General features: G+C 37.0%; 1 long non-coding RNA gene and 1 pseudogene across 2 annotated transcripts in view; one reads left to right on the plus strand and one right to left on the minus strand.

Moving 5' to 3' along the window:
• LOC105379066 (uncharacterized) overlaps window positions 1-25,223 on the plus strand; it is a 70,191-nt gene that overhangs the window by 904 nt on the left and 44,064 nt on the right. The window contains exon 2 of one of the 2 annotated variants that reach the window (XR_948542.2): window positions 18,739-18,833. The exons of the other annotated variant lie outside the window; for it this stretch is intronic. This is a non-coding gene — a long non-coding RNA (uncharacterized LOC105379066). The remainder of the gene's footprint in view (window positions 1-18,738; window positions 18,834-25,223) is intronic. 2 annotated transcript variants of the gene reach the window in all.
• Window positions 6,462-6,562, minus strand: RNU6-727P (RNA, U6 small nuclear 727, pseudogene; annotated as a pseudogene).

Here is a 25,223-nt window from a genome sequence, read left to right on the forward strand (position 1 = left end):
AAAAGCCCACACAGGTAAAAAGAAGAAGTGGCAGGATGACTTTAACTCTGCTTTCTATTAAAATGTTTTTAGGGGCTTAAGAAAGGGAAAGCCTTTTCTTTTTCATTTTTGTTGGGTACAGCTGAGGTTAGAGTTTGCCACAGTTATCTGAATTCCTCAAACTTATGCCATTTGTGGTATATAATTTTGGAGAGCCACACACTCAACATATGTGGCTAACCTGGTCTCATAAATTGGCTAAGAAAAGAGAGAAAAAGAGAAGATCAAAGGGCATGGCAAATTGATTACAATGAATTGTGAACAACCTAAAATGTTGCATGTTGGGGAAAGAATAATTTAAAAGAGAAAAACATAATGGTACAAAAGATAGGAAAATAAGTGATCTAGATAATTAAATGTCTATATAAAGTCTTAGCCTCATGACTGTTATATATATCATATAAATTCTTTTCATTTTGTTTTTCTGAAAGATATTTGACAACTCCTTAGTTTTATGTAAAGGATAATAAAAATAGGCATTTAAAAGAGTTGGCAGACTGTGATTTCCACAGAGATATGAGTAAAATTTCTGAATGTCATTTAGGAAAAATATATGAAAAACCTGGCATTGCTGGTGTAATTTTTTTTAAACCTTGAACAAATTTTAGTCCATGAAAATTGACATTGATCTTATTTTTCAGATGTAGTAGGAATTGGGCTCTGTCTAAATTAACTGTCTGAGGAATACAATTGTTGCTGATGCCCTAACATTAAGGCTCATGTATGGTTTTTCTTACTAAGGTAAGCAGACTGGATGCTGTGACAGTCTCCTACTCAGCCTGTTGTGCGACAGTGTTTCTTTGCTATTGCTACCACAGGAGGCACACTGGAATGCAGAACTTGTGCCTTTACCTATTTCCATTTCTAGTTTCAACTAAAAAGTAGCAAGTGTTTCTCTTCACTTCTATTATTTTTACTTATTTATTTATGGAGAATTTCAAATATAAAGAATACAGAGAAACATATTTCAAAAATTATCAATACATGGCCAGTTCCCTTCTACCCTCCACCCACACCTCCATTAGGTTTTTTTCTTCTTCTTCTTCTTCTTTTTTGAGACAAAGTCTTGCTCTGTCACCCAGACTGGAGTGCAGTGGCACAATCTTCGCTCACTGCAACCTCCGCCTCCTGGGTTAAAGCCATTCTCCAGCCTCAGCCTCCTGAGTAGCTGGGACTACAGGCTCATGCCACCATGCCCAGCTAATTTTTGTATTTTTAGTAGAGATGGGGTTTCACCATGTTGGCCAGGCTGGTCTAGAACTTGTGGCCTCAAGTGATCCGCCTGCCTGGGCCTCCCAACTCCATTAGTTTTAAATCACAATGTCCCTGCTACTAAATGAAGATATTTCAAACAAGAACAAACCAACTAACCAGACAGAACCTATTCTTCCTAGAAGACATAGGGAAATTCACAGCTTGTTGACAAAGATATCACTATTTCATTAGACACTACTCAGAAGTGAAATGTTAAGAAATATTTCAATGACTTTTAAAAGTAAATACAATCTCTTTTATTGTGCTGCAGTTGTTAAATTGTGCTATGGTATGTACTTGTAGACAAATTCCAAATATTTTGACTTGCAGGCATTACCTGTAAACTAAGGGTTACCAATCAGAGATTAGGTGATGCCAAGCAGGTGTCATCTGTTTGGCCACCACAGAAATGTCCTGTACTTATCCACGTGCTATTCCAAAATTTCCCATAAGAGTATTAGGATTTCCTTTCTCTTGCTTCAGGACAGTCTTCCTTCTTTGCGGTCTACCTAGTGATCTTAATGTTTAGGGAAAAATAAAAGTAAAAAGGTCATATTGCCTGATCTTAGGAGAAAAGGAAGAAAAGGGGAATTAAAAGGTTGTGGGAGTGACCAGTAAATATGTTTGCAACTGAAATAATTTTGCAGTCTAATATAAAACATCTTATAAAGTGGCCAGATTAATTTGTAGTCCTCATTTCCCAAACACATCAGCATACTCACGTTCACACCATTTCTGATTGCAGGGCCACTCACACACACACACACACACACAAAAGGGATAGAAGAGACCAAACCACATCTATGCTCACAAAAACACACAATATCTTTCTTACTTTAAAATCTAACATAAAACTGTATGCCTTCAGCTACTGACATGGATTCGTGACATTTAAAATACAGCTTTACAATGAGTATTTAATAACCCTTTGCAATTGTATTTGGTTAATACACAATTAACAAATTTGTATTTGCAGCATTGGCTGCAAAATCCTTTCTTAGTTTTATTCTCAGATGTCAAGTTACAACTAAGAGAAGAAAAGGAGTCGCCTGAAGCAAGTACCTGGTTTCTAGAAAATAGAATACTACTAAAGGAAAAGAAATAAGAAGAAGAAATAGCATTTAAAAAATATCGTTGATCTATATGTGACCCCCTCAAAATTGAAATGTTTTTTATTTTGCTTTAAGACTATTTCAAATTAAGGCATAAAGAAGACATGACAACATACTAAAGAGAAAATCCTATAAAGCCATCTTCAATTCAGCAAAAATTAGTAAATCACTATACACAAGGCCTAGTACTAATTGTTAGGTGGTAGTGATACGGTGATGGGGTCACAAAAATGACTATCTCATAGTTCTTGTCCCAGGATCCTTGGACTATAGTAGAATTATGGCATGTACGAATACAATCCCCTCTCAATGACAGTAACCTTGGATAGGGCTGACACACACTCTCTCCTTTGACCAAAACTTTAATCAGGCTTTTCTCTGAGTCCTCTGCTTGACTAAGCCTGATCTTGGGCTTTCCTCTCTATTCTAGTACAGATGCTTCTCGACTTAGGATGAAGTTACGATGCAAAAAAAAAAAACAAAAAACCCATCATAAGTTGAAAATATTCCAAGTGGAAAGTGCACTTAATATAGCTAACCTATTGAACATCATGGCTTGGCCTAGCCTACCTTAAACATGGTCCTTGTGACCGCATGGTTGACTGAGAGCTGCGGCTCACTGCCACTGCCCAGCATCAGGAGCGGGTTTGTATTGTAAATCACTCGCCCGGGAAAAGATCAAAATTCAAAACTGGAAGTGTTTCCATTGAATACATACGGCTTTCGCACCATCATAAAATCAAATCATTGTAAGTTGGAGACCATCTGTAGAATCCAGTTGGAACAAGAATCCTGACACGTCACATTAATGAATATCCCCCACCCTTGGTATCAGACCACCCTCAATATCTTATCACCCTGACCTGCCTTCAGCAATAATCCTATCAGGTCAGTTTAGCCAGAAATCCTTTATCCTTGGTGTTTCCTCTTAGTAATTTTCCATCCATTGCTCCCCAACCTGCTTCTTGGTTATAAATTCCCACTTGTCCTTATTGGAGTTAGAATTGAGTCCAATCTCACTCCCCCACTGCAAGACCTTACTGCAGTGGTCCCGAAACCTGTCTCCATAGCTGACTTTGAAAAGGTCTGTCTCACCATTCTTCATTAATAAAGTGTCATTAATAAAGCATTTTTGAGAAAGTCACTTCAACCTATCTTGCCCTAAGTTTCATCTCTTGCATAGTGAAGAAAATAGTTGTAGCTACCTCATAAGGTGGTTGTGAGGATTAAATTAGTTAATACATGTGAAGATATAGCAGACTGGCTGGCTTCCATAAAATGTTTTAAATTGTTAATTATTACTTCATTGACACATGGCATAGGCTAATTGGAAGATACAACATTTTTGTGAATTTGTATTGATGCTGATGGAGAGGGCACTGTTGGTGGATAGGATTTGCTTGAGTAAAGGCAAAAGGGCACAATGTGCAGGGTGTGTCTAAAGACTAGGAAGTAGAATAGCTTGATTGATTGGAGAATAAGAGGGCTTTGAATGTCAAAATTTTTCAATTGGCGAATGAAATGATCAGAGTTGCATTACTTTAATCTGGAAATTATTTGTGACTCTTTTGATAGTGAGGACTTTATAAAGCCATCATTAAAATAATTGAAATAGAACAGGGGATTAAGTCTATAAGTGATACCCAAATGCCTGTGTTGTTGAACTAGCTACATGAGATTCAGGATTATAAAGAGGAATTCCTCACTATGTCTCCAGATAGAGAGATAGGTAGTATATCATGTATATCACACCACATATGCTCTATGAGATGTAACCAATCCATATAATATATTTTTGTGTGAAATTATGAAGTAGGGCCTAGGAATTTTGGCTTATAAAAATCATGTTTGAAAGTTTTTGCAAATGTAAAATGTACAGGACTTGGCAAATAGGATGGATAAGGTGGTGGGATGAAAGAGGAATGGCAACTCTAAAAAGAAGTGACTTTCAAATATGAATCAACATATCAATCATCTGGATCATGTTAAAATACAAATCAGTGATTCCAATTCAGTAGGTCTGGAATGAAGCCCCAAGAATCTGGATCCTTAAGTATTACCTTGAGTTTGGTGATTTTTAAGCTTTAGGGTTCATCGTACTCATATGGAAAGCTTGTTGAAACACAGATTGCTGAATTTCTCATTCAGCCAGTCCTGGGCGGGCCCAAGCATTTGCGTTTCTAACTAATTTCCACATAATACTTGGAACGTGGACCACCACAGTTTGAGAACCACTACTCCAGTTTATTTTTATAGCCTGGGTAATGGGGAGAATGATGGTGTCCTTATTGTTAAGAATCTTCACCTTTTCTATTAGGTTGAACAAAACCATACTTTTATTCTTTGTTACCTAAGAGAAAAAAATGGAGGATGCTTAGTCATTTGTTGGCCTTATCCAGACAACATGACCATGGTGAAATTTAATATCCATTTGAAAAAAAATGACTAATAATATTCTCACTGGATAAATAAAAGGTGAAGAAAAAATGTATTCTCTCACAGTTGGATTGAAATATACTTTTGTTGTAGAGTAATAAAAATTATCAACCACTTTAGTTATTCTTCTGTTGTTTTAAAGTCTAGAATTCAGATGATAAAGAAAATTGAAAGGATACTTTTTTTTTTTTTGGTTTCTCTATTGACAGGCGTCAGTAAAATGTGAATTGGGCTCACAGACCAAATTCAGTCAATGCCTATTTTTGTACGGTCCACAAGCCAAGCATGGCCTTTACGTTTTTAAGTGGTTGAAAAAAATCAAAAGTAATATTTCATGCCTCATGAAAATTATATAAAATTCAAATTTTGATGTCTATAATTTTATTAGAGTTCTCCAGAGAAACAGAACCAATAGGCCAATACGATTTGTGTGTCTGTGTGTGTGTGTGCATGTACATATACATATGTATATATAATACATAATATTTTGGATATTGGAACTTGCTCACACAATTATGGAGGCTGAGAAGTTCCATGATCTGCTGACTGCAAGCTGGAGACCCAGGAGAGCTGACTGTGTAAGTTCCAGTCCAAGTACAGGAGAAGATCAATGCACCATCACAAAAAAAGTCAGGTACCAAGAGAAAATTCTTCCTTATACTATCTTTTGCTTCATTTAGACTTCCAATACATTGGATAAGGCCCACCAACATTGGGGAGATCAAACTGCTTCACTCGCCCTACTGATTCAAATGTTAATTTCATCTATAAACCCTTCACAGACACACCCAAAACAATGTTCAGCCAAATGTCTGGGCACCCCATTGTCCTAGTCAACAAAATACATCCCTTCTCAGCTTGGCATTCATTCACATCTCTTTAAATCATATTTAATCTCCAAATAAACACAATAACAAGGTCATAACTCCACTTTACATAATACAACTATCCCACATACAACTGAATATGCATTACCCAATCCCCAGAAAAGGAGGTAAAGTTCTTGATGTTTACTCTTCTCCTTGACATCCTGTAACTTAAAAAATACTATGATGTAAATTGAACAATACTTAAATATTATGTTAATAAATCAATACATTATATAATACATAATAAAGGAATAAGAGAGGGAGAAAAAGGTATTTACTATACACACACAAACATTTCTTAACAAAATAAGGGGGAAATACTCCTAACAGTCCTCATTTATGTAACTGATTACATGGTTGTAGTTGATATTTATAACTACCTTCTTTCACTAACTATCCTGTTTTTTTTTTTTTATTTGTTTGCCTTTAGCAAGACCCTGAGCTGGTTCTCTACCTGGTCAAGTGACCCAAGCCTTCATTCCTGAAGGATCTGGGGCATTAAGAGTTTTGCCTGGATTGGGTTGTTGTAATTTTACATTGACTTTAATTACTGGACATGTAGTACAGAGGAGCATCCTACAGGTTCTACTGCATTTCAGACATACTCAACCTTACTTCCATTGTGCAGTAGCAGTCCAATTTCCCCTTGCTAGTTCTGATCAGTCACCACAACTCTCTTCTTTGCCTGTTGATTCAGAGGCATGAGGAATTCAAAGTGGCTGGGCAGCAGTTTTTATTAATTTATTTTTCAATGGAACACTTCATGAATTTGCATGTCATCCTTGCACAGGGGCCATGCTAATCTTCTCTGTATCGTTCCAATTTCAGTATATGTGCTGCTGAAGTGAGCACAGTTTTCATTGTTGTATCTCCTAGTGGAAGCATTTCTCCCTCAGGAACTAAGACTTTTAGGCCAGTAGAGCATAAGGTAATGGGAACAGGAAGCAAACATTTTATTAGGGGGTCACAAGGAGTAATAGTGAATAAATTCATTCCCGTTTCTGCCCCTTATTCCTGGACCCATGAGTCCTTGCTATGGAAGAAACAGCTCTATCTATATATTAGATGTTGATTCAGAGAATGTGCAGCCTTCTGGAGAAGCTTGTCTCAGCACTGCAAAATATTACCATCTAGCTCGTGCTGTAACTAGGTTCTCCAAAGGCCATTCTACTGTTCTATCAAATTGTTTCAGGATAGTGGGCAACATGATAAGGCCTATACATTCCATGAGCATGGACCCATTACCATACTTCTTTTGCTGTGAAGTGAGTCCCTTAATCAGAAGCAATGCTGTGTGGAATCTGTGGAATCCTGTGCCCATGGATAAGGCATTCTGTAAGTCCAGGATCACAGTTTTGGTAGAAGCATTGCATGCAAATCCATACTTAAGATGGTCTTGCTTACAGAGAAGAGGCATCAAAGAACTCTTCAAGGATGCCAGGGCCCCCCTCACACATTTATTTCTCTCAATACTGGTGAAAGTTTGTTTTATGGATCCTTCCAGTGTGGGTGGATAGGTCTTGCATGACAAATCCACTCTAACATTTCACAATCTCCCTAAGCGTTTGAATTTCTTCCTCTGCATTATACCAAGGCAAGTCTGACATTTTCAGTTCACTTACTGTGGGCTACTTTTTAGAACGTGTTTCAGCCAACCAACTGAACAAATTCATGGTGCCCTTTCCAACTCTCTGAGCCGTAACACTAAATGCAGGCTATGCTTAGTGAGCCCATATCAATAAATTCAGCCTGATCTAACTTTATCTTCCTTTATTTCACACTCTTAATGTTCATTCCCACACATGTTTCCTGGACTTCTGTCTGTACAAATTAGAAAGCTCAAGCAGTTCTGTTGACATGTAGTGAACCCTCTCATGAGTCACACTTTTTACCTCACTTTTAAGGGCCTGCTGGGACTTGAGTCTAGCTATAGGTCTAGAAACAAAGAGAGGTGGGTCTTAGGACAGTCAGCATTGTCTTGCATGGCAACTGTCTCATGGGAGGCCATTAAACTTTCCTCAGGCAATGCAGGGTTAATCTCAGACTGGATTAAAAAGGCTGATGCCACTGGTAGTGGGGAGGCCACTAACACTGGGGCATGGGGAGGCTGTTTCCACAGGGGATGGGGAGGCATGCCTTCTGGGAGTGGAGAGGCCTCTTCCACTGGTAAAGAGACATCAGAATTTAGAGACAAAATATCCTCAGCTTTGTCAAGGTCTTCCCACACATCCTCATCCTAAATCTTATTCTTTCCCAATCAGTGCCCACACTTTAACAGCAGACATTCGACAAGGCTGGGAATTTATAAGAAATTAAATTGTAATTTAGTCTCGGGATGGTATTCTGCATTCAATTTTCAACCTAGCCCTTTGGCTATAGGAGATAAGGGTCTCCTTTAGGACACAGATAGAAACTCAGGTCATTTATGTGGTGCTCAAGCTGTGAATTTGAATCCCCGAGCTCATTCTTTTCCTTCACCACTTTGTCCAGCAACAGTGGAACAACCAGTCAATCTTATTGTATTGATTAGTTTTCCAAAAAAGCTTGGAATTACCATATACACAGCCACCCAACTTGTTGCTTCTTGTAAATGGTTGATTAGGAGTGTTCAGTGCAGGTATTTTGTGTATCTTTGCTACCAGTTCATGCCATAGACTATCAGTGCCCCTACGTATATATTTACTATAAGGAATTGGCTCACATAATTATGAAGGCTGAGAAGTCTCATGATTTGGATCTGCATTCTACAAGGTGGAGACCCAGGAGAGTTAGTGTTATAGTTCCAGTGCAAGGCTAAGGACCAGGAGAACCAATGGTAGAGGTTTCAGCTGAAGTGCAGGAGAAGAAAACAGTCTGACAGACAGTGAATTCTCCCTTACTTCATCTTTTGTGGTATTCAGGCCTCCAATGGATTGATGGAGGCCCACTCACATTGTGGAGGGCAATCGGCTTCACTTAGTCTACTGATTCAAATGTTAATCTCATCTATAAATATCCTTACTGACACACCCAGAACAATTTCCAACCAAATACCTTGCACCATGTGTTGCAGTCAAGTGAACATATGAAATTAACCATCACTTTAGTGAGTTTTATTGAAACAAAGCCACACTTGTTCATTTCCATATTGTCATCTTTGGCTGTTTTCAAGCTACAACAGCAGAGCTGAGGAGCTGAAACAGAGACCATTTGGCCTGCAAAACCCAAAATATTTACTATCTGACCCTTTATAACAAAAAATTTTGCTCACCAATGTTCTAAGAGAGTGCTTTTAACATTTTAATATATGTACATATCAACTGGGGATCTTGTTAAACTGTTGATTCAGATTCAGTAGGTCATAGCCAAAATTCTCCATCACTATCATGCTCCTGGGTGAGGTCAGTGCTGCTAGACTGAAAACTGTACATCCTATTTGTCAATTTTTGCTCTTCTCATAGTCCCTAACTATAATGCCTTAAACTTCTGCCTATGCAGGTTCTCTTTAGGTTCATCGAACTTAAATCCTGTTACTTCTGTTTATTCTCCAAACTATTTCATCTTATTGTGAACTCTTCTTCCTCATTGTACTTACTTTGTTTCACATTTTTAGGCTTTAAATGTATTCTGTGTTCCCTAGTTGTTGCACTTTTTTTTTTTTTTTGAGACAAAATCTCACTCTTGTCCCCCAGGCTGGAGTGCGATGGTGCAATCTTGGCTCACTGCAACCTCCACTTCCAGGGTTCAAGTGATTCTCCTGACTCAGCCTCCCAAGTCGCTAGGATTTCAGGTGCCTGCCACCACACCTGGCTAATTTTTGTATTTTTATTAGAGACAGCGTTTCACCATGTTGGCCAGGCTGGTCTCGAACTCCTGACCTCAGGTGATCCACCTGCCTCGGCCTCCCGCAGTGCTGGGATTACAGGCTTGAGCCACCGTGCCTGGCCTGACTTTTTAATGTGTGACTATCTTAACTCCTTCAAAAGATTTAAAGTTTAGATATTCTGTTTTGAGACATCTATTACCTATTATGCTTGCATAGTACCTTACATATAGAAGGTATTCTCAAGATAGTTATTAAATTAATTACTGTTCCACACCTAGAGAGGATATAGTTAAATCAACAGTACATCATCACAGTACATGAAGTGATATTCTTAGTCATTGATACATTTTTAGAAGTGATTCATTTTTCTCTTTAATATTATTGATAAATTTCAGTGATAAGAATTATTCTTCTTCCTGAATGAAAGACAGTATTGAAGTAAAATACAAATCTTTGGATTAATACATTAAATCAGGCTATAGAATTGAAATTTAAACTTGTCTCAAGCCTTGAGATGAAAAGTACACCTTAATTACGAACTGAAAAACTGCTTATTGTGCAAATTGCCTGGAGGCTGGATAATTAGAAATGCAATGTTAATTTCACTAGTTTAATAATTTCATTTTCAGAATTTGCTTGAAGAGGTATTGATAAATTGCAATAGCCAATCATGTATGAAAGTTTACAGACTATGAAAATGTTTTATTTTGCCATTAAGAATCACACATTCCAGCTTTTGAAGAGAATTATGTGAGTTATTAAATAAGATGAGAAACTTCTGCTGTCATAAAAATTAGCCAATTTACTTTGCTCTTCTAATCAACTTAAAATTTCTACCTGAACTATTTTAGTATATTCCAATAATAAAAGTAGTATGAATATGAAGCTGCTTTCAAGGAATCTTATAGATAGATATAAAAAGCAGTTATAAATGTTTGGCATTTTATGAACTTTTGAGTTCCTTTTTTTTCTTTTTTTGAGATGGAGTCTCACTCTGTTGCCCAGGCTGGAGGGCAGTGGCGCAATCTGGGCTCACTGCAACCTCTCTGGTTCAAGCAATTCTCCTGCCTCAGGCTCCTGAGTAGCTGGGATTACAGGCACCCACAACCACGCCTGGCTAATTTTTGTCTTTTTTTTATTAGAGATGGGGTTTCACCATGTTGGCCAGGCTGGTCTTAAACTCCTGACCTCAGGTGATCAATCCATCTGCCTTGGCCTCCCAAAAGTGCTGGGATTACAGGCATGAGCCACCGCGCCTGGCCAACTTTTGAGTTCTTAAAGCAATATTCTTTATATCCTTTACCTCAAAATAAATATGATAATTTCACTATTTAATACATTTGGGACTTAATAAATACAAATAAGTACATTTTTAAAAATAAATGTTGTACCCAAGGAAACATTATAAAGGAATTTCACATGTAAGTACTATATCAGGTTTGAATAAAGTATTGGAATTCTAAACATTTTCAGGTTTGAATACATATTTTTCTGCTAATCAGCACATTACTTTTGTTTTTTAAAATTTATTTCTAAACTAATATTGTCATGACAACAGCAACCAGGATCAGAAGGAAAAAAAGCAATGAGCCAACTTGGCACATCACAGTTTATCCACATGGTGGAGCCATGTGGCTAGATCCTGGAGACACCAATTTTATTACCCTCATCGTTTTGTAATAACTCATGATAAATCCAACCAACCAAATTTCTTCTTCCTGTGTGCAGTTTTCTCTGGTTCTCTTAGTTTAGTTCCTTATTATCTTGCACTGTAGCAGAGTGCAGTCTTATTCTATTCCAGTCTGTCTTCTACAGCAGTGATTTGCTAATCTTGGCTGCACATGGGTAACTCCTGGGCAATTTTTACAAACCCTTGTGCTGAGGGCCCTACCTCAGGCTAATTGAGCAGCAGTCTGCAGGGCAGAGTCTGGACATTGGCACATGTTTAAAGTCTCCATGTGTGATTCTATCCTGAAAGCAAGGTTGCAAACCAGTGCATACTACCACTGTAGACACCTTTTTCAATTATAAGTCTAATCACACCACTCTTCCAGTTAAAATTGTTCATTGGCTCCTCATCAACTTTCGGATAAAATCAACCTCATTAACAAGGCAAACAATCCCCCTCAACATCTGACGATTGCTTTTCTAGAATCACCACCATCTTCCACCCCACAGCACATGCAGAGTTCCAGCCTAAAGAATTGCTTGCAGGCTTCTAAACTTACCAGGCATTTTCACACTTCCAGAATTGCCTCATAACTCTAGCAACTAATACACTAGGCACTAATCAATATTTACTGAATGACTAGATGAATACTCTAAAATGGCTTCCTCTTATTTAGGACAGGGATGTTTATTTTTGTCAAACAACTCTCAAGTGTTTGCTTGCCTTTCGGTGGCTTAGAGTACAGAACGTGGCACCAGGTCAACCAACAGATGTTAACTATATTCTAAAGAAGACACTGTTTTCTGCCAACTTATTGAATTCAAAGGTAACATCAGAAACTTCCTTAGAAACAGCTGCTTTTACGTTGTACTTCTTTTCAATCTAAAATTCTCAACTCTAACATTTCTGTTTCAGTCAACGGAAAATGGACTGCCTGCATGTGGATGATGGTGCAGATATTCTTTTTAAATTAGTGGATGCTCGTATTCACTAGCTAGTCATTTAGAATCTTTGACTTTATAATAGTTCTCATCCTAAAACTGCCAAGACCCTAATGGAACTGGATTTTCAAGAGTGGATATTATGGAAGAGTAAGTGGTGTGATTTTAGCCAGGGCCGCCTTCTCCATTAGGCACAGTAGGGGCAGTGCCCATGGACCACAGTGCTTTTAGGGGCCCACGATCATGTTTTAATATCTTTTAAGTTAGAAGGAAAAAAAATACCCTTTTGCGTCAAAGAAAATGTTTTAACATAAAATAGTAATATAGTCATCTTTATGTCAACACAGTGATAAAATACAATTTGTAATTCTGTTGTATTTTGGCCATGAAGGCAAAAGCAGCTAGGGCCCAGGAAAGTCATGTGACCCTCATTTCAGAAAAACTAGGGAGGAGCCCTTCAGCCCTAAAATGTCTCCTCAGATGTGCCTGCCAGATGATGTAATACTGATAGCATGTAGTAAGTTATCTTGGTCTTTATTTTCTGATCATCAGTATCTATCTCAATACGGTTTCCCACCCACTTCCCAGGAGAAGTAGAGTTAGTTGCTTGTACTCACATATCAAACAACTTTAGAATGTTCCTGTAATCATATCTTCAACCTGATTTTTCACTTGGCGTGTACCATCCAAGTGAGTCCCTTAGCATGTCAAAGCTACTCCTTTTGAACAGACATATCTTTTTTTAAAATCTTTTTGTTTTTATTGTTCTTTAAGTTCTGGGATACATGTGCAGAATGTGCAGGTTTGTTACATAGTTATACACGTGCCATGGTGGTTTTCTGCACCCATCAACCTGTCATCTACATTAGGTATTTCTCCTAATGCTATCCCTCCCCTAGGCCCTCAGCCCCCAATAGGCCCCGGTGTGTGTCGTTCCCCTCCCTGTGTCCATGTGTTCTCATTGTTCAACTCCTACTTATAAGTGAAAACATGCGGTGCTTGGTTTTCTGTTCCTGCGTTAGTTTGCTGAGAATGATGGTTTCCGGCTTCATCCATGTCCCTGCAAAGGACATGAACTCATCCTTTTTATGGCTGCATAGTATTCCATGGTGTATATGTGCCACATTTTCTTTATCCACTCTACCATTGATGGGCATTTGGGTTGGTTCCAAGTCTTTGCTATTGTGAACAGTGCGGCAATAAACATACGTGTGCATGTGTCTTTATAGTAGGATGATTGATAATCCTTTGGGTATGTACCCAGCTGGGTCAAATGGTATTTCTGGTTCTAGATCCTTGAGGAATCGCCACACTGTCTTCCACAATGGTTGAACTAATTTACACTCCCACCAAAAGCATTCCTATTTCTCCACATCCTCTCCAGCATCTGTTGTTTCCTGACTTTTTAATGATCACCATTCTAACTGGTGTGAGATGGTATCTCACTCATTGTGGTTTTGATTTGCATTTCTCTAATGACCAGTGATGATGAGCTTTTTTTCATATGTTTGTTGGCTGCATAAATGTCTTCCTTTGGAAAGTGTCTGTTCGTATCCTTTGCCCACTTTTTGATGGGATTTTTTTTTTTTGTAAATTTGTTTAAGTTCCTTGTAGATTCTGGATATTAGCCCTTTGTCAGATGGATATATGGCAAAAATTTTCTCCCATTCTGTAGGTTGCCTGTTCACTCTGATGATAGTTTCTTTTGCTTTGCAGAAGCTCTTTAGTTTAATTAGATCCCATTTGTCAATATTGGCTTTTGTTGCCATTGCTTTTGGTGCTTTAGTCATGAAGTCTTTGCCCATGCCTCTATGTCCTGAATGGTATTGCCTAGGTTTTCTTCTAGAGTTTTTATGGTTTTAGGTCTTAGGTTTAAGTCTTTAATCCATCCTGAGTTAATTTTTGTATAAGGTGTAAAGAATACCTGAATGGTATTGCCTAGGTTTTCTTCTAGAGTTTTTATGGTTTTAGGTCTTAGGTTTAAGTCTTTAATCCATCCTGAGTTAATTTTTGTATAAGGTGTAAAGAAGGGGTCCATTTTCAGTTTTCTGCATATGGCTAGCCAGTTTTCCCAACATTATTTATTAAATAGGGAATCCTTTCCCCATTGCTTGTTTTTGTCAGGTTTGTCAAAGATCAGATAGTTGTAGATGTGTGGTGTTATTTCTGAGGCCTCTATTCTGTTTCATTGGTCTATATATCGAACAGATACATCTTGATGTTGCCTTAATTGAAAGGTGCCAATAGTAGAAATGGGTATAGTAATAAAAATCATAGTGACCTATCATTTATACTCAGATTTTCTTAGAATCAGTCTTATCAAATGTCCTCTAGTGAAAGAGGTTGCCAAAGTTTTCAAGTTTATAAAAATAAATGTTTTTGAAAATGTTGCTCATTGCAAAGTGCTCAAAATTCATGATTAGAATGTGAATGACATTTATATACCCCTTCTTTACACCTTATACAAAAATTAACTCAAAAAAAGCTTGCATGTGGATGATGGTGCAGATATTCAAAAACAAGTGGTTTTGCTTTTCTAATGTAAATTCAAACATGCTGTTGAATTAATTAACTAGTATTTCTATGACATTGAATAGGTTTAATATAATTCTTCATTAAAGATAAATAGTAAGCCCTACTGCCTGTATTGGCCATATCAGGGAATCCCTTATCCGTGATAGTGCCATTTTAAGGTTGATGATTCTTGATAACTACAATGTGTTTGGAATACTTTTCTTGGCTACATAGAGCATCTTAAAAAAAAAAAAAACTTCAGTGTCATGTTCATAAATAGTAGGAATCTCTTAGCTGTGTGGGTTCTGGGTCCCTAGATGGCATTCAGTTGGTGGACTTGAATAAGAACTCTTCTTTCTATCAAAAAATAAATGAATGATATTGACGTGGTTCGTTCATAATTTTATAGTAAATGATGAGTTCATGTCCTTTGTAGGGACATGGATGAAGTTGGAAATCATCAGTCTCAGTAAACTATCGCAAGGACAAAAAACCAAACACTGCATGTTCTCACTCATAGATGGGAATTGAACAATGAGAACACATGGACACAGGAAGGGGAACATCACACTCTGGGGACTGTTGTGGGGTGGGGGGAGGGGGGAGGGATAGCATTAGGAGATATACCTAATGCTAAATGACGAGTTAATGGGTGCAGCACACCAGCATGGCACATGTATACATATGTAACTAACCTGCACATTGTGCACATGTACCCTAAAACTTAAAGTATAATAATAATAATAATAATAATAATAAAATAAAGTAAAGATAAAGTCATAATTGTTTAAATGATTATTTTGGATATTACTTTGCTTGGTTTTCCCAGCATCTTTTCCTCCTTCTGGGATTAATAGACTACCTTTAGTAAAGATTGCTAATCATAGTACATTGTGCCCACAGTGATTAGTCCAAGGAGTGGGCACCAGACATATGTCATGCCAGTCAGACTCTTCCTTATGAATTTAAGCTTGAGTTAGAGGAATGAGCCCTTCTATCTCAGATGGTAAAGTTGTAAGGATATTAATCCAGCATTCACTAGTGGTAGTGATTCAACCTTGGAATGAGAGTTTTAAGCAGACAGAGGAATAAAAGACAAGATGGAACCAAAGAAAAGAAGACAAGAAACAGTGTTGAAAAGGTTTTTCATGTCTCTAGTTCTAATTCCTGAGGTCCTCAAGAACCCTAATTTTTGTTATTCCTGGTCTTGGTCATTCATGTTCAATCTATGAGCTGATCCAGTGTCCTTTAAAAATATCTGCAAACACACCTGCCTTCTTTTTTAAGACCCTCCTTATCTTTAGTTTACATTTATCCATTCCTTTAAGTAGAATGCTTTAATATATTAACTAAGGATGAAACTTCAAACATGTTGTTAATTGGTAGAAAAATTTGAGGATAATGGAATTATAGGATTAAATGAGATAATATATATCAAACATTCACACTTGATCTTAGCCAAAAGATCAAGAAGTGATTTTTTTTTTTTTTTTTTTGATGAGACATCACACCAGGCTGGACTGAAACTCCTGGTCTCAAGAGCTCCTCCCCCGAGTAGCTAGGACTACAGGTGCACGCCATTGTGCTCAGCTTTTTTTCTTTTTCTTAAAGTTGGAAAGACAGACTTTATTCAAGGGAGGCTCACAGTAATAGGTATAGGAACCACTACAATGGGGTCTTGCAGTTGGGGAGAGAGATTAGATTCCTCAAATATTTGATCACTGTCTGGCATATATTAATTTAATAAAAAGTTATTTTAAAATTATTATCTTTCTTAATTACTTGTACAAACATGCTTTGATTATTAAATTATTTCCGGACTCTCAGTTTCACAAAACAAAAAGCAAACTTGGGTACATTTTCTACTTTATGACATAAGTAGCCATTCAAATAATGGGAACCTATCTAGGGCCATCCATAGGGTGTGCAGGGTACAGGGCAAAACTTTTTTGTCAGGCTCCTGTCTATGTGGTTAATTTGATTTTACAATGTGTTATGAAATTCACAGGCCCATGTGAGTTATAGTGATAGGTTGATGGTGATTTAGAATAATGAGTTGAGAAGGGATTCTTTGTAGTATCTGCCAAAAACTGTGAAGGTTCTGAGAGTTTACCCTAATGCAATCTAACAAGTTAGTTTGTTACTATTTCGAGGATACTGGCAAAAAAACAGGAGACTCCTGGGTCAGAGGCAAAGGATTTAATTGCTCACAGTACAGCAAAAAGCATGAGCATCAGCATATTTGCATTGGTTCTCCTTGCCAAGTATCAGAGCTTGATGAAATGGGCTTAGATGATACCTGTACTTGCAGTGAGTTGCATTAAAGTAGGGGTCCCAAGGGTACAGGACTCTCTGAGCAAGCTACAAAATGTTGTAGCAGGTAGCAAATCATTCAGACCCCTCCTGCTACAAACCTGGAGTCTTATTGTGGTCACTTTGACCTACTTAGTGCCTATGTGTCCCTGATCAGTAACAGGGGATGGATAAGGCTAGTAATCTGGCACACAGAGCAAGAACATGCAAGCCTGATCAGGCCCATGGCAGATGACATTTTCTAATAGTATCCAGGTATCATCTTTTCCTGTTCAGGTACAGGAGCCCTCTCTTCTTTATTGTAAAATGTACCATTCCTGGCTAATTTTATATCTCTTACTCAAAGAAAAAGGCATTAACATTGTTATTACTCATAAGGTCATGGCTTGCTGGAACCTGCTTATATTGAAAAATATAGATCTTGCCTCTGCAGTTCCCTAATACCATTTATTTAATTCTGGTTACATGATTGCTCATGACTTTGCATCATCCATAGTGCTTTCCATGATTACTGGCCCCCAAAGACTCTCTTAAATGTTGTTACTATGTTTTATTGATGATGAACAGAAATGTAAACTTACCCAGACTATGCAGAAACATGTGAACAACAATTCATTCTCCATTCATGTTAAATTTCTCGTTTTGAATTTTAATGCATAAGCATAGAACAACATGACTTCCAACTATATTTTCTCTTGAACTCCTTAGGCTATAATCACTGCACACATAAAACATGATCTTCTTAAAAGTTGACTCTCTCTTCCTTCTATACACTGCCACCAGAGGAGAGAACAGATGAGGAGTTTGAGGGGAAGGGGAATGGGATAGGGAAAGAATGGTCCAATTTGTGTAAGGAAGTCCATCTTACAAAAGCATGGCATTACCACAGTGATCAATAGCCAGAGTAGATATAGATCCAAAGGCCTTAGAGTAGATAATATGACCAAATCCCAGAGAACTGCCAGACATGGGGCATGGAACCTAAAGAAGGGGTAGGTATCTGCCACAGGGATGGCCAAGGGTACATAGGGTAAAGAATACTCTTCAGTGCTGGATCAAAGGTGGTACTGTGGTCACAACAGAGGTGAGTGTGAGCCCATGTTCTAGACCACACACTCAGATCAAGCTCAAGTTTTAGCAGTAGATTCTTTGTAGCTCTGAGTCCTGAACTTGTCTTACATCGATAAGAGAGTCGGCCAACATCTGCTGCTTGTTGGTTCCATTCTGAAAACTCAGTCTTGTGTGGTCCCACAAAAAGAAATTCTGTGCTGACATTGGGAGTTACCACTCTTCAGTCTGCTCTCTTGGATTAGAGGTCAGGCAGGGGTCTCAGGACAATCCCATCCGCATGAGCCCTAGGGTTCCATGGGCATTTGGTAGAACCCAGGTCCTGGAAAGTTGGTTGGAGAAATACCTTAGTGGAGAAATGGAGAATGAAGACCTTGTGTTTTATGATCTGAGCTTGGAGAACCCTGATTGGATGGCACTGCTGGTCTAGCCACTACCAGGCATAGAGGAAGCTACAGAAAATGTAGAGAAAAACACTCCAAAGTGTGAGATCCTTCTAGAACTGGAAATATGCAGGCCTATGTACTATAGTCTGAATGCTTTTGTCCTCTGAAAATTCAAAGATGGAAACCTAATCTCCAACGTGATGGTATCAGGAGGTGGGGCCCTTTGGGAGGCAATTAGGTCATGAGGGCTCCTCAGCATCCAGATAAAAGGTTACTGTCCTTATAAAAGAGACACTATGAGGCTTGTTCCTTCCCTCTTCCACCACATGAAGACACAGCTAGAAGATGTCATCTATGAGGGAAGGGGCCCTCATCAGACACTGAATCTGCTGATGCCTTGATCTTGAACTGTTCACCTTACAGAACGGTGAGTAATAAGTTTCTGTTGTTCATAACATACCCTGTATATGGTATTTTGTTATAGCAGTTTAAATGGACTAAGACATTGTGCCTATCCAACATCTGACACCACCATTTTAATATTTTAATTCCTACTTTTTATGTTTTTAAACTTTTAGACTTGAAAATCAATTTCATTTGTTTATTCTTTGCTCTCTTTCCTCTTTCAAAATATTGCACCACTCAGAATTTAATATTAATTGAAAATGTTTTTTTTAAATGTCAATAATTCCCGAAGATACTATATTTAACCTGGGAAAATAAAAGACATTCTATGTCTTTGGGATGAGAATTGAATCACACCAGAAACTACACTCAATAAATAGTGCTTCAATGTTTCCCACACTGCTGTTTAAATATGTATACTTAATAGTTCTATTTTCTAATTTTATATGGATGACTCAACAAATCTGTAGTTGCTAATTAAAATAATTCTGTAGTTAAGTAAAATTTGCATATAATAGATGTATTATCCTATCAAAGTATTAGACAAACTTTTGTTTTTATAGAAGTTTGTTGTGATCATCCCCATTATTTTATTTACTCCTCACAATAAGCTAATAGGTAGATACAGGCCATGTAAATAGCTGGCTTTAATAGATGAGGAAACTAAGGTGAGGGACTTAAGGTCGTCAAAGGTTATATATTTGATGTCACAGTCATGAACAGAACTGGGCTTGCTGGACTCATCTGATGCTCTTGTGCTTCCAGCAACTACCATGTTCTTTCCCCAGGCATACCTATCATGATTAAGATAATGTTTATTCTGAGTCTTTTTGATGTTTATCATGTCAAAAAAGATAACATGTCATTTTTCTTTCTTTCTTGATGCCTATGTTGCTTCAAGGGAATATAGTTTTAATATTCAATAGTGAATATTAAATACATCTCTTACACATGATATATGACAAGAAATCTATATTCTGCATTCAGCGTTGTACTGTTACCCAACATTATGATATATGTGTCAATGCAGAGAACACAACGGATTGGATCCTCCTGCCAGTCACCTTTTAACTACCTAAATTTCACAGCTTCTCAGGGATGCAGGCAGAAGAATCTTGCTGCTTGTTAGCTTTGATGCCCCCATGTCCCTTTCTTAATTCCGAATAAAGAACAAAAAGATTAGTATCCTTATGTGGTTGGTAACTGATAAGCAGAACAGTTTTCCCCATTTTCAAAAGAAGTGATGCTGTCATAACCTGCTCCTAGGGTTCCAACAGGACTTCCTGTCATTCTACAAGATTCCAGGGATAGGTTCATAATGATTGCTTAGGTGTGCAGGCTGACATTATAAAGCTAGGGGATAGTGCAGTGTAGTGGGGAACAGCAAGAGTTCTGGAGTTAGACGAAACTAGGCAGACTCTTACTTTGCTGTTTACTGCTTGTGTGATGTGGTCAAGTCTTGTACCTACATTGAGTTCATTTGGACCTACATCAACATGTTTGTTTTTTTTTAAACTAGAATTTCCCAAATGAAAATCATTTAGTATTCTTGAAATGACTTGAAACTGGTTTCTCTGACAGTAGACTCTTATCATCAAAATCTCTAAGGTTCTAACTATGATTTTATGATAGCCCATGTTCATCTATAGATGGTTGAGGGAGAAGTAAGTTCAATGAGTTCTGGGAACAGAAATCCAACATTTTACACAAGTCCTTTCTAGTTCTTTGTTTTCTTTCTTTTTTGATGATATAAGTTCTGTTTCAACAATACTTTTTCACAATATCTAATGTAATACATAGGAAAAAGAGATGTGGCAGGGCAATAGAGTATGGTACAAAAAAGTAGATGTAAAACCCTTTTATAAAAAACTTTTTTTAAAAAAATAAATCATGTTCATGAACTTCAAGGCCTCTCAGAGAAATGGTGCTGCTTGCCAAAGTCCTCTGCAGAAGTGTGTGTGATAAAAGTGTTACAGGTCCAATCTGTCTTTATGGCCCTGTTCCTTCCTTCTTCGTCACAAATACCACATACAGTTATTAAATTATATCTGAATTTATAAAAGATTGAAGAAAACAAAAAGCAATGGAGAAAGAATTGTAAATGAGAGTGACATGGCTTTCCCATGGTCCAAAGGGAAAGTGTCCCAAAATTTCTACCTTTCCTGCAAGGCCTCTTAGGAAGGTGTCCCAGTTTCTAACCTCATTCTATCATCAGGTTTGTAAGAGTTTCTCCTTGTCAATTTCTTTATCTACTGTTAGAAATTTTATTTCTTATCCACAAATTAGTCTTACTCTAGAATTTATTTCCCTCCCTCCCAGAAGTATACTCTCCCAAGTATGAGTTGTAATAATTTCATGGGGGCTCAAGAAGGACAGTGCAAATTTGGCATTCACACTCCAAGTCTTAGAGAAAGATCTAGAATGGGTGTGGCCTTGACAAGCCTCATCTCTAAAAGTCTCTCCAATGGTGTGAGTTGCAGATGGGCATCCTTAATCTTAGTGTTAAGTGGGTAGCTGTTGGATTACACACACACACACATACTCTCTCTCACACACACACACTCCCTCTCTCACACACACACTGTCTCTCACACACACACGCACACACACACCACACAAATGCATACACATCTCTCTTCTGGGCAAATAATGTTCAGGGACAGGAAAGACTAAATCCATAAGGAAGAAGAGAAACGAGTTTCTTCCCTATAATTTTCAAGGCCACTGTTATCCAAAGTTTGTTCTGGTGGTGTTAACATTTTTTTTTTCATTTACTTCCTCATTTCTAAATTGCATCTCATAAGGCTACTGGGTATAAAGTAAATAACCAGTTCAGGTGTCTCATTATACCTGCTTTCTTAGCTGTATGTGACCAAACCAAAGTGTATACATTATTGCTCTTAAATAATGCACCATTCTCTTTTCTGATCTTGGTGGCAGATGTTAGTGAAGAGGCAAGGAGAGGGGAATAGATTTTATTTTTCTAGTAAACAATTATAGAACTGAATTTCTTTGCTTAATGTACATATGGGGGTAATGTTTGTAGTAATGGTCAAATAAAATTTGTTTTTTAGGATTAGAAGATAAAGACACTGTGTGCTTAAGAGTATAAGGTAACTGCTAAGCTTGATATGGAATTTTGGCTGTGCAACTAGACCTCACCTAACACAAATATAGCAAAGAGACCAATTATATGCACTTTCTTAAAGGATAAAATTTTGTTTAATGATAGATTTAATTATTGATAAAGAAGTAATGGGTTGTTTGAAACTATCAAAGCCTAGAGATTGTCTATTATTCTGTTATATTGAAGAGTATTTATTTTTCATTCTTCTTGTAACTTTCCCTTTTATAGAAATATTATTGTTTAATTTGTTTACTTTTTTTACATGCAAAAACATGGAAAGAGCAAGGACATTGACTGGCTGGCAAATGTCAGGGCAAAAGTTATATATAATTATAGCTTCAGATGATGTCTAATTTTCCTATAGCAAGCAGCACAAATCCCTGAAATCAGGACCAAATGCAATCTAAATTTTATACTTGGCCATAGAGATATAAAGTTCCTTTGATAGTATATCATCCATTAAATCTTTTAAAAATGTTACATAAAATATAACTAAATTTGAGATTTTCACCTTTAGTCTTTTATTCTGGATGAAGGTCAGATGTAAAGCTAAATTTTTATTTTTTACTCAGCTATTGATTTTTAGAAATTTATATTTCTTGTCATTCAGTGTGGGATAAATGCATACATATTTTATCACATCTTTTCTTGCATTAATATATTTTTGTGTGTGTGGAAAACTCTTGCCCTTCAGTGATATATATCCTGACTGCATATAATTTTGAGTGTTTTTCACATAACATTCTCAAATTTTAACTCTCTGGTCTAGTAGTTTACATATTCAAGGCAGATGTTATTTTAAATGGTCTGGCCTTATTTATGGGTTGAAATGCGTGGGTTTCTGGTACAAAGTAAATCACTCACAGATATATCTTGTGAAAATGAATAAAAGACTAAAATCAAGTATCCAAGCCTATACCCTATGCTATTCAAATGTAGCCAGTTAATATATGTTAAGCACCTATAAAGATGTTGTCCTAAAGTCAAAGCTCAAGAATTGCTATGCTGAAGGAGCTGTGATTCCTCCACACCCCAGATAGTTGTAAAATACAATTATGAACTATTGCAGTGGTTTTCAACCTAAGCAAAATCTATGGAGCTTAAAAAAAATCCCCATGCTTAGGCTACTCCTCCAACTAATTAAATCAGAAGATTTAGGGGTGAGACTCAGGAATCAATTATTTTCTAACATTTTATTTTGTAAAAATACCAAGCCTACAGAAAGTCTATAGGAATAATAAATCAACGCTCACACTCCTTGCTCTACCTCACTGTTTATATACGTATTAATATATTTTTTATTCTGAAACATTTGAGAACAACTTACTCTCAAATTATACAATTTTATACTCAAATATTTCTGCATGTAACTCCTAAGAACAAAGGCATTTTTCCATATGAATACAAACCAAGCTGGGCGCAGTGGTTCACTTGGAGAGGCCGAGGCGAGCCGATTAATTGAGGTCAGGAGTCCAAGACCCGTCTGGCCAACATGGTGAAACCCCGTCTCTACTTTAAAAATACAAAAATTAGCCGGGCGTGGTGATGCATGCCTGTAATCCCAGCTACTCGGGAGGCAGAGGCACCAGAATTCCTTAAACCCAGAAAGTGGAGGTTACAGTGAGCCTCAGTGAGCTGCGGTGAGCAAGATTGTGCCACTGCACTCCAGACTGGAAGATAGAGCCAGACTCCATCTCAAAAGAAAAAAAAAATCAAACTAAGGAAATTTAACTTAACAATAACATCACAATTATATAATGCACAGATAATATATATCTTTTTTCAAAATTCTCCACTCACTTCAATTACATCCTTCATAGCTGCTCTTTTAAAATCAGGATCCAGTCAAAGATTCACACTTACATTTTTTTGCCTTGTCTCTTTTTTCTTTTCCTTTTTTTTAAATAAAAATTTATCATCTTTGATTTGATTTCAACGGAATGCCATAATTCATATCATGTGATGTAAGTATACTCATAATTGTAAATATCATTTATAAAGTACTTTTGTTTTTATTGATTTTGTTTACTCTATTAATTTTTAATAGGCAAAAATTGTACATATTTATTATATACAACATGATATTTTGAAATATGCATATATTGTGCAATAGCTCAATAGAGCTAATTAACATAAGCATTACCTCACATACATATAATTTTTTATAAGGAGAACATTTAAAATCTATTCTTTCAGCAATTTTCAAGAATATAATAGTTACTAACCACAGTCACTGTGTTTTACAATAAATTGCTTGAACATACTCCTTCTACCTAACTGAAATTTTGTCCTTTGACCAACATTTCCCCAACTCCACCCTTCTCCCTCACCCTCAGCCCCTGATAAACACCACTTTCTTCTTTATTTCTATGAATTTGACATTTTTAGATCCTACATGTAAGTGAGATCGTGTGGTGTTTGTCTTTCTGTGCCTAGCTTATTTCACATAACATAATGTTGTCCAGGTTCATCAATGTTGTCCCAAATGGCAAGATTTCCTTTTTGTTTTTTAAGGCTGCGTAGTAGTCTACTGTGCTATATATACCACATTTTCTTATCCATTCATCTGTTCATGGACACTTGGGTGGCTTCCATATCTTGGTTACTATAAATAATGCTGCAATAAACATGTGACTGCAGATATCTCTTCAAAATATTGATTTCATATCCTGTGGATATATACCCAGTAGTGGCATTGCTGGAACATATGGTGGTTCTATTTTTAATTTTTGGAGGAAACTCCACACTGCTTTCCATAATAGCTCTACTAATTTGCATTTCCATCAACACTGTGGAAGGGTTCCCACTTCACATCCTCACCTTCCCTATTATCTTTCATCTTTTTGATGATAGCCATTCTAACAAGTGTGAGGTGATATCTCATGGGGTTTGAATATCCATTTCTCTGATGATTAGTAATGTTGAACATTTTTCATATATCTCCTGAACACTTGTATATCTTCTTTCTAGAAATATTTATTCAGGACCTTTGACCATTTAAAAAAATCAGGTTATTTATTTATTTTGCTATGAGTTGTAGTAGTTCCTCATATAGTTTGGATATTAATCCCTTATTAGATGTATGGTTTGCAATATTTTCCCCCATTTTGTAGATTTGTCTCTTCCCTCTGTTGATTATTTCCTTTGCTGTGCAGAAGCTTTTTACTTTGATGTAATCCCGTTTGTCTTTTTTGCATTTGTTGCCTGTGCTTTGGGGCGATCTCCAAAAAAATCATTGCCCAAAACAATGTCCTGAAGAGTTTTCTCCCAGTAGTTTTACAGTTT

This window comes from Homo sapiens, chromosome 5 (assembly GCF_000001405.40).
Source record: "Homo sapiens chromosome 5, GRCh38.p14 Primary Assembly".
NCBI lineage: Eukaryota > Metazoa > Chordata > Mammalia > Primates > Hominidae > Homo > Homo sapiens.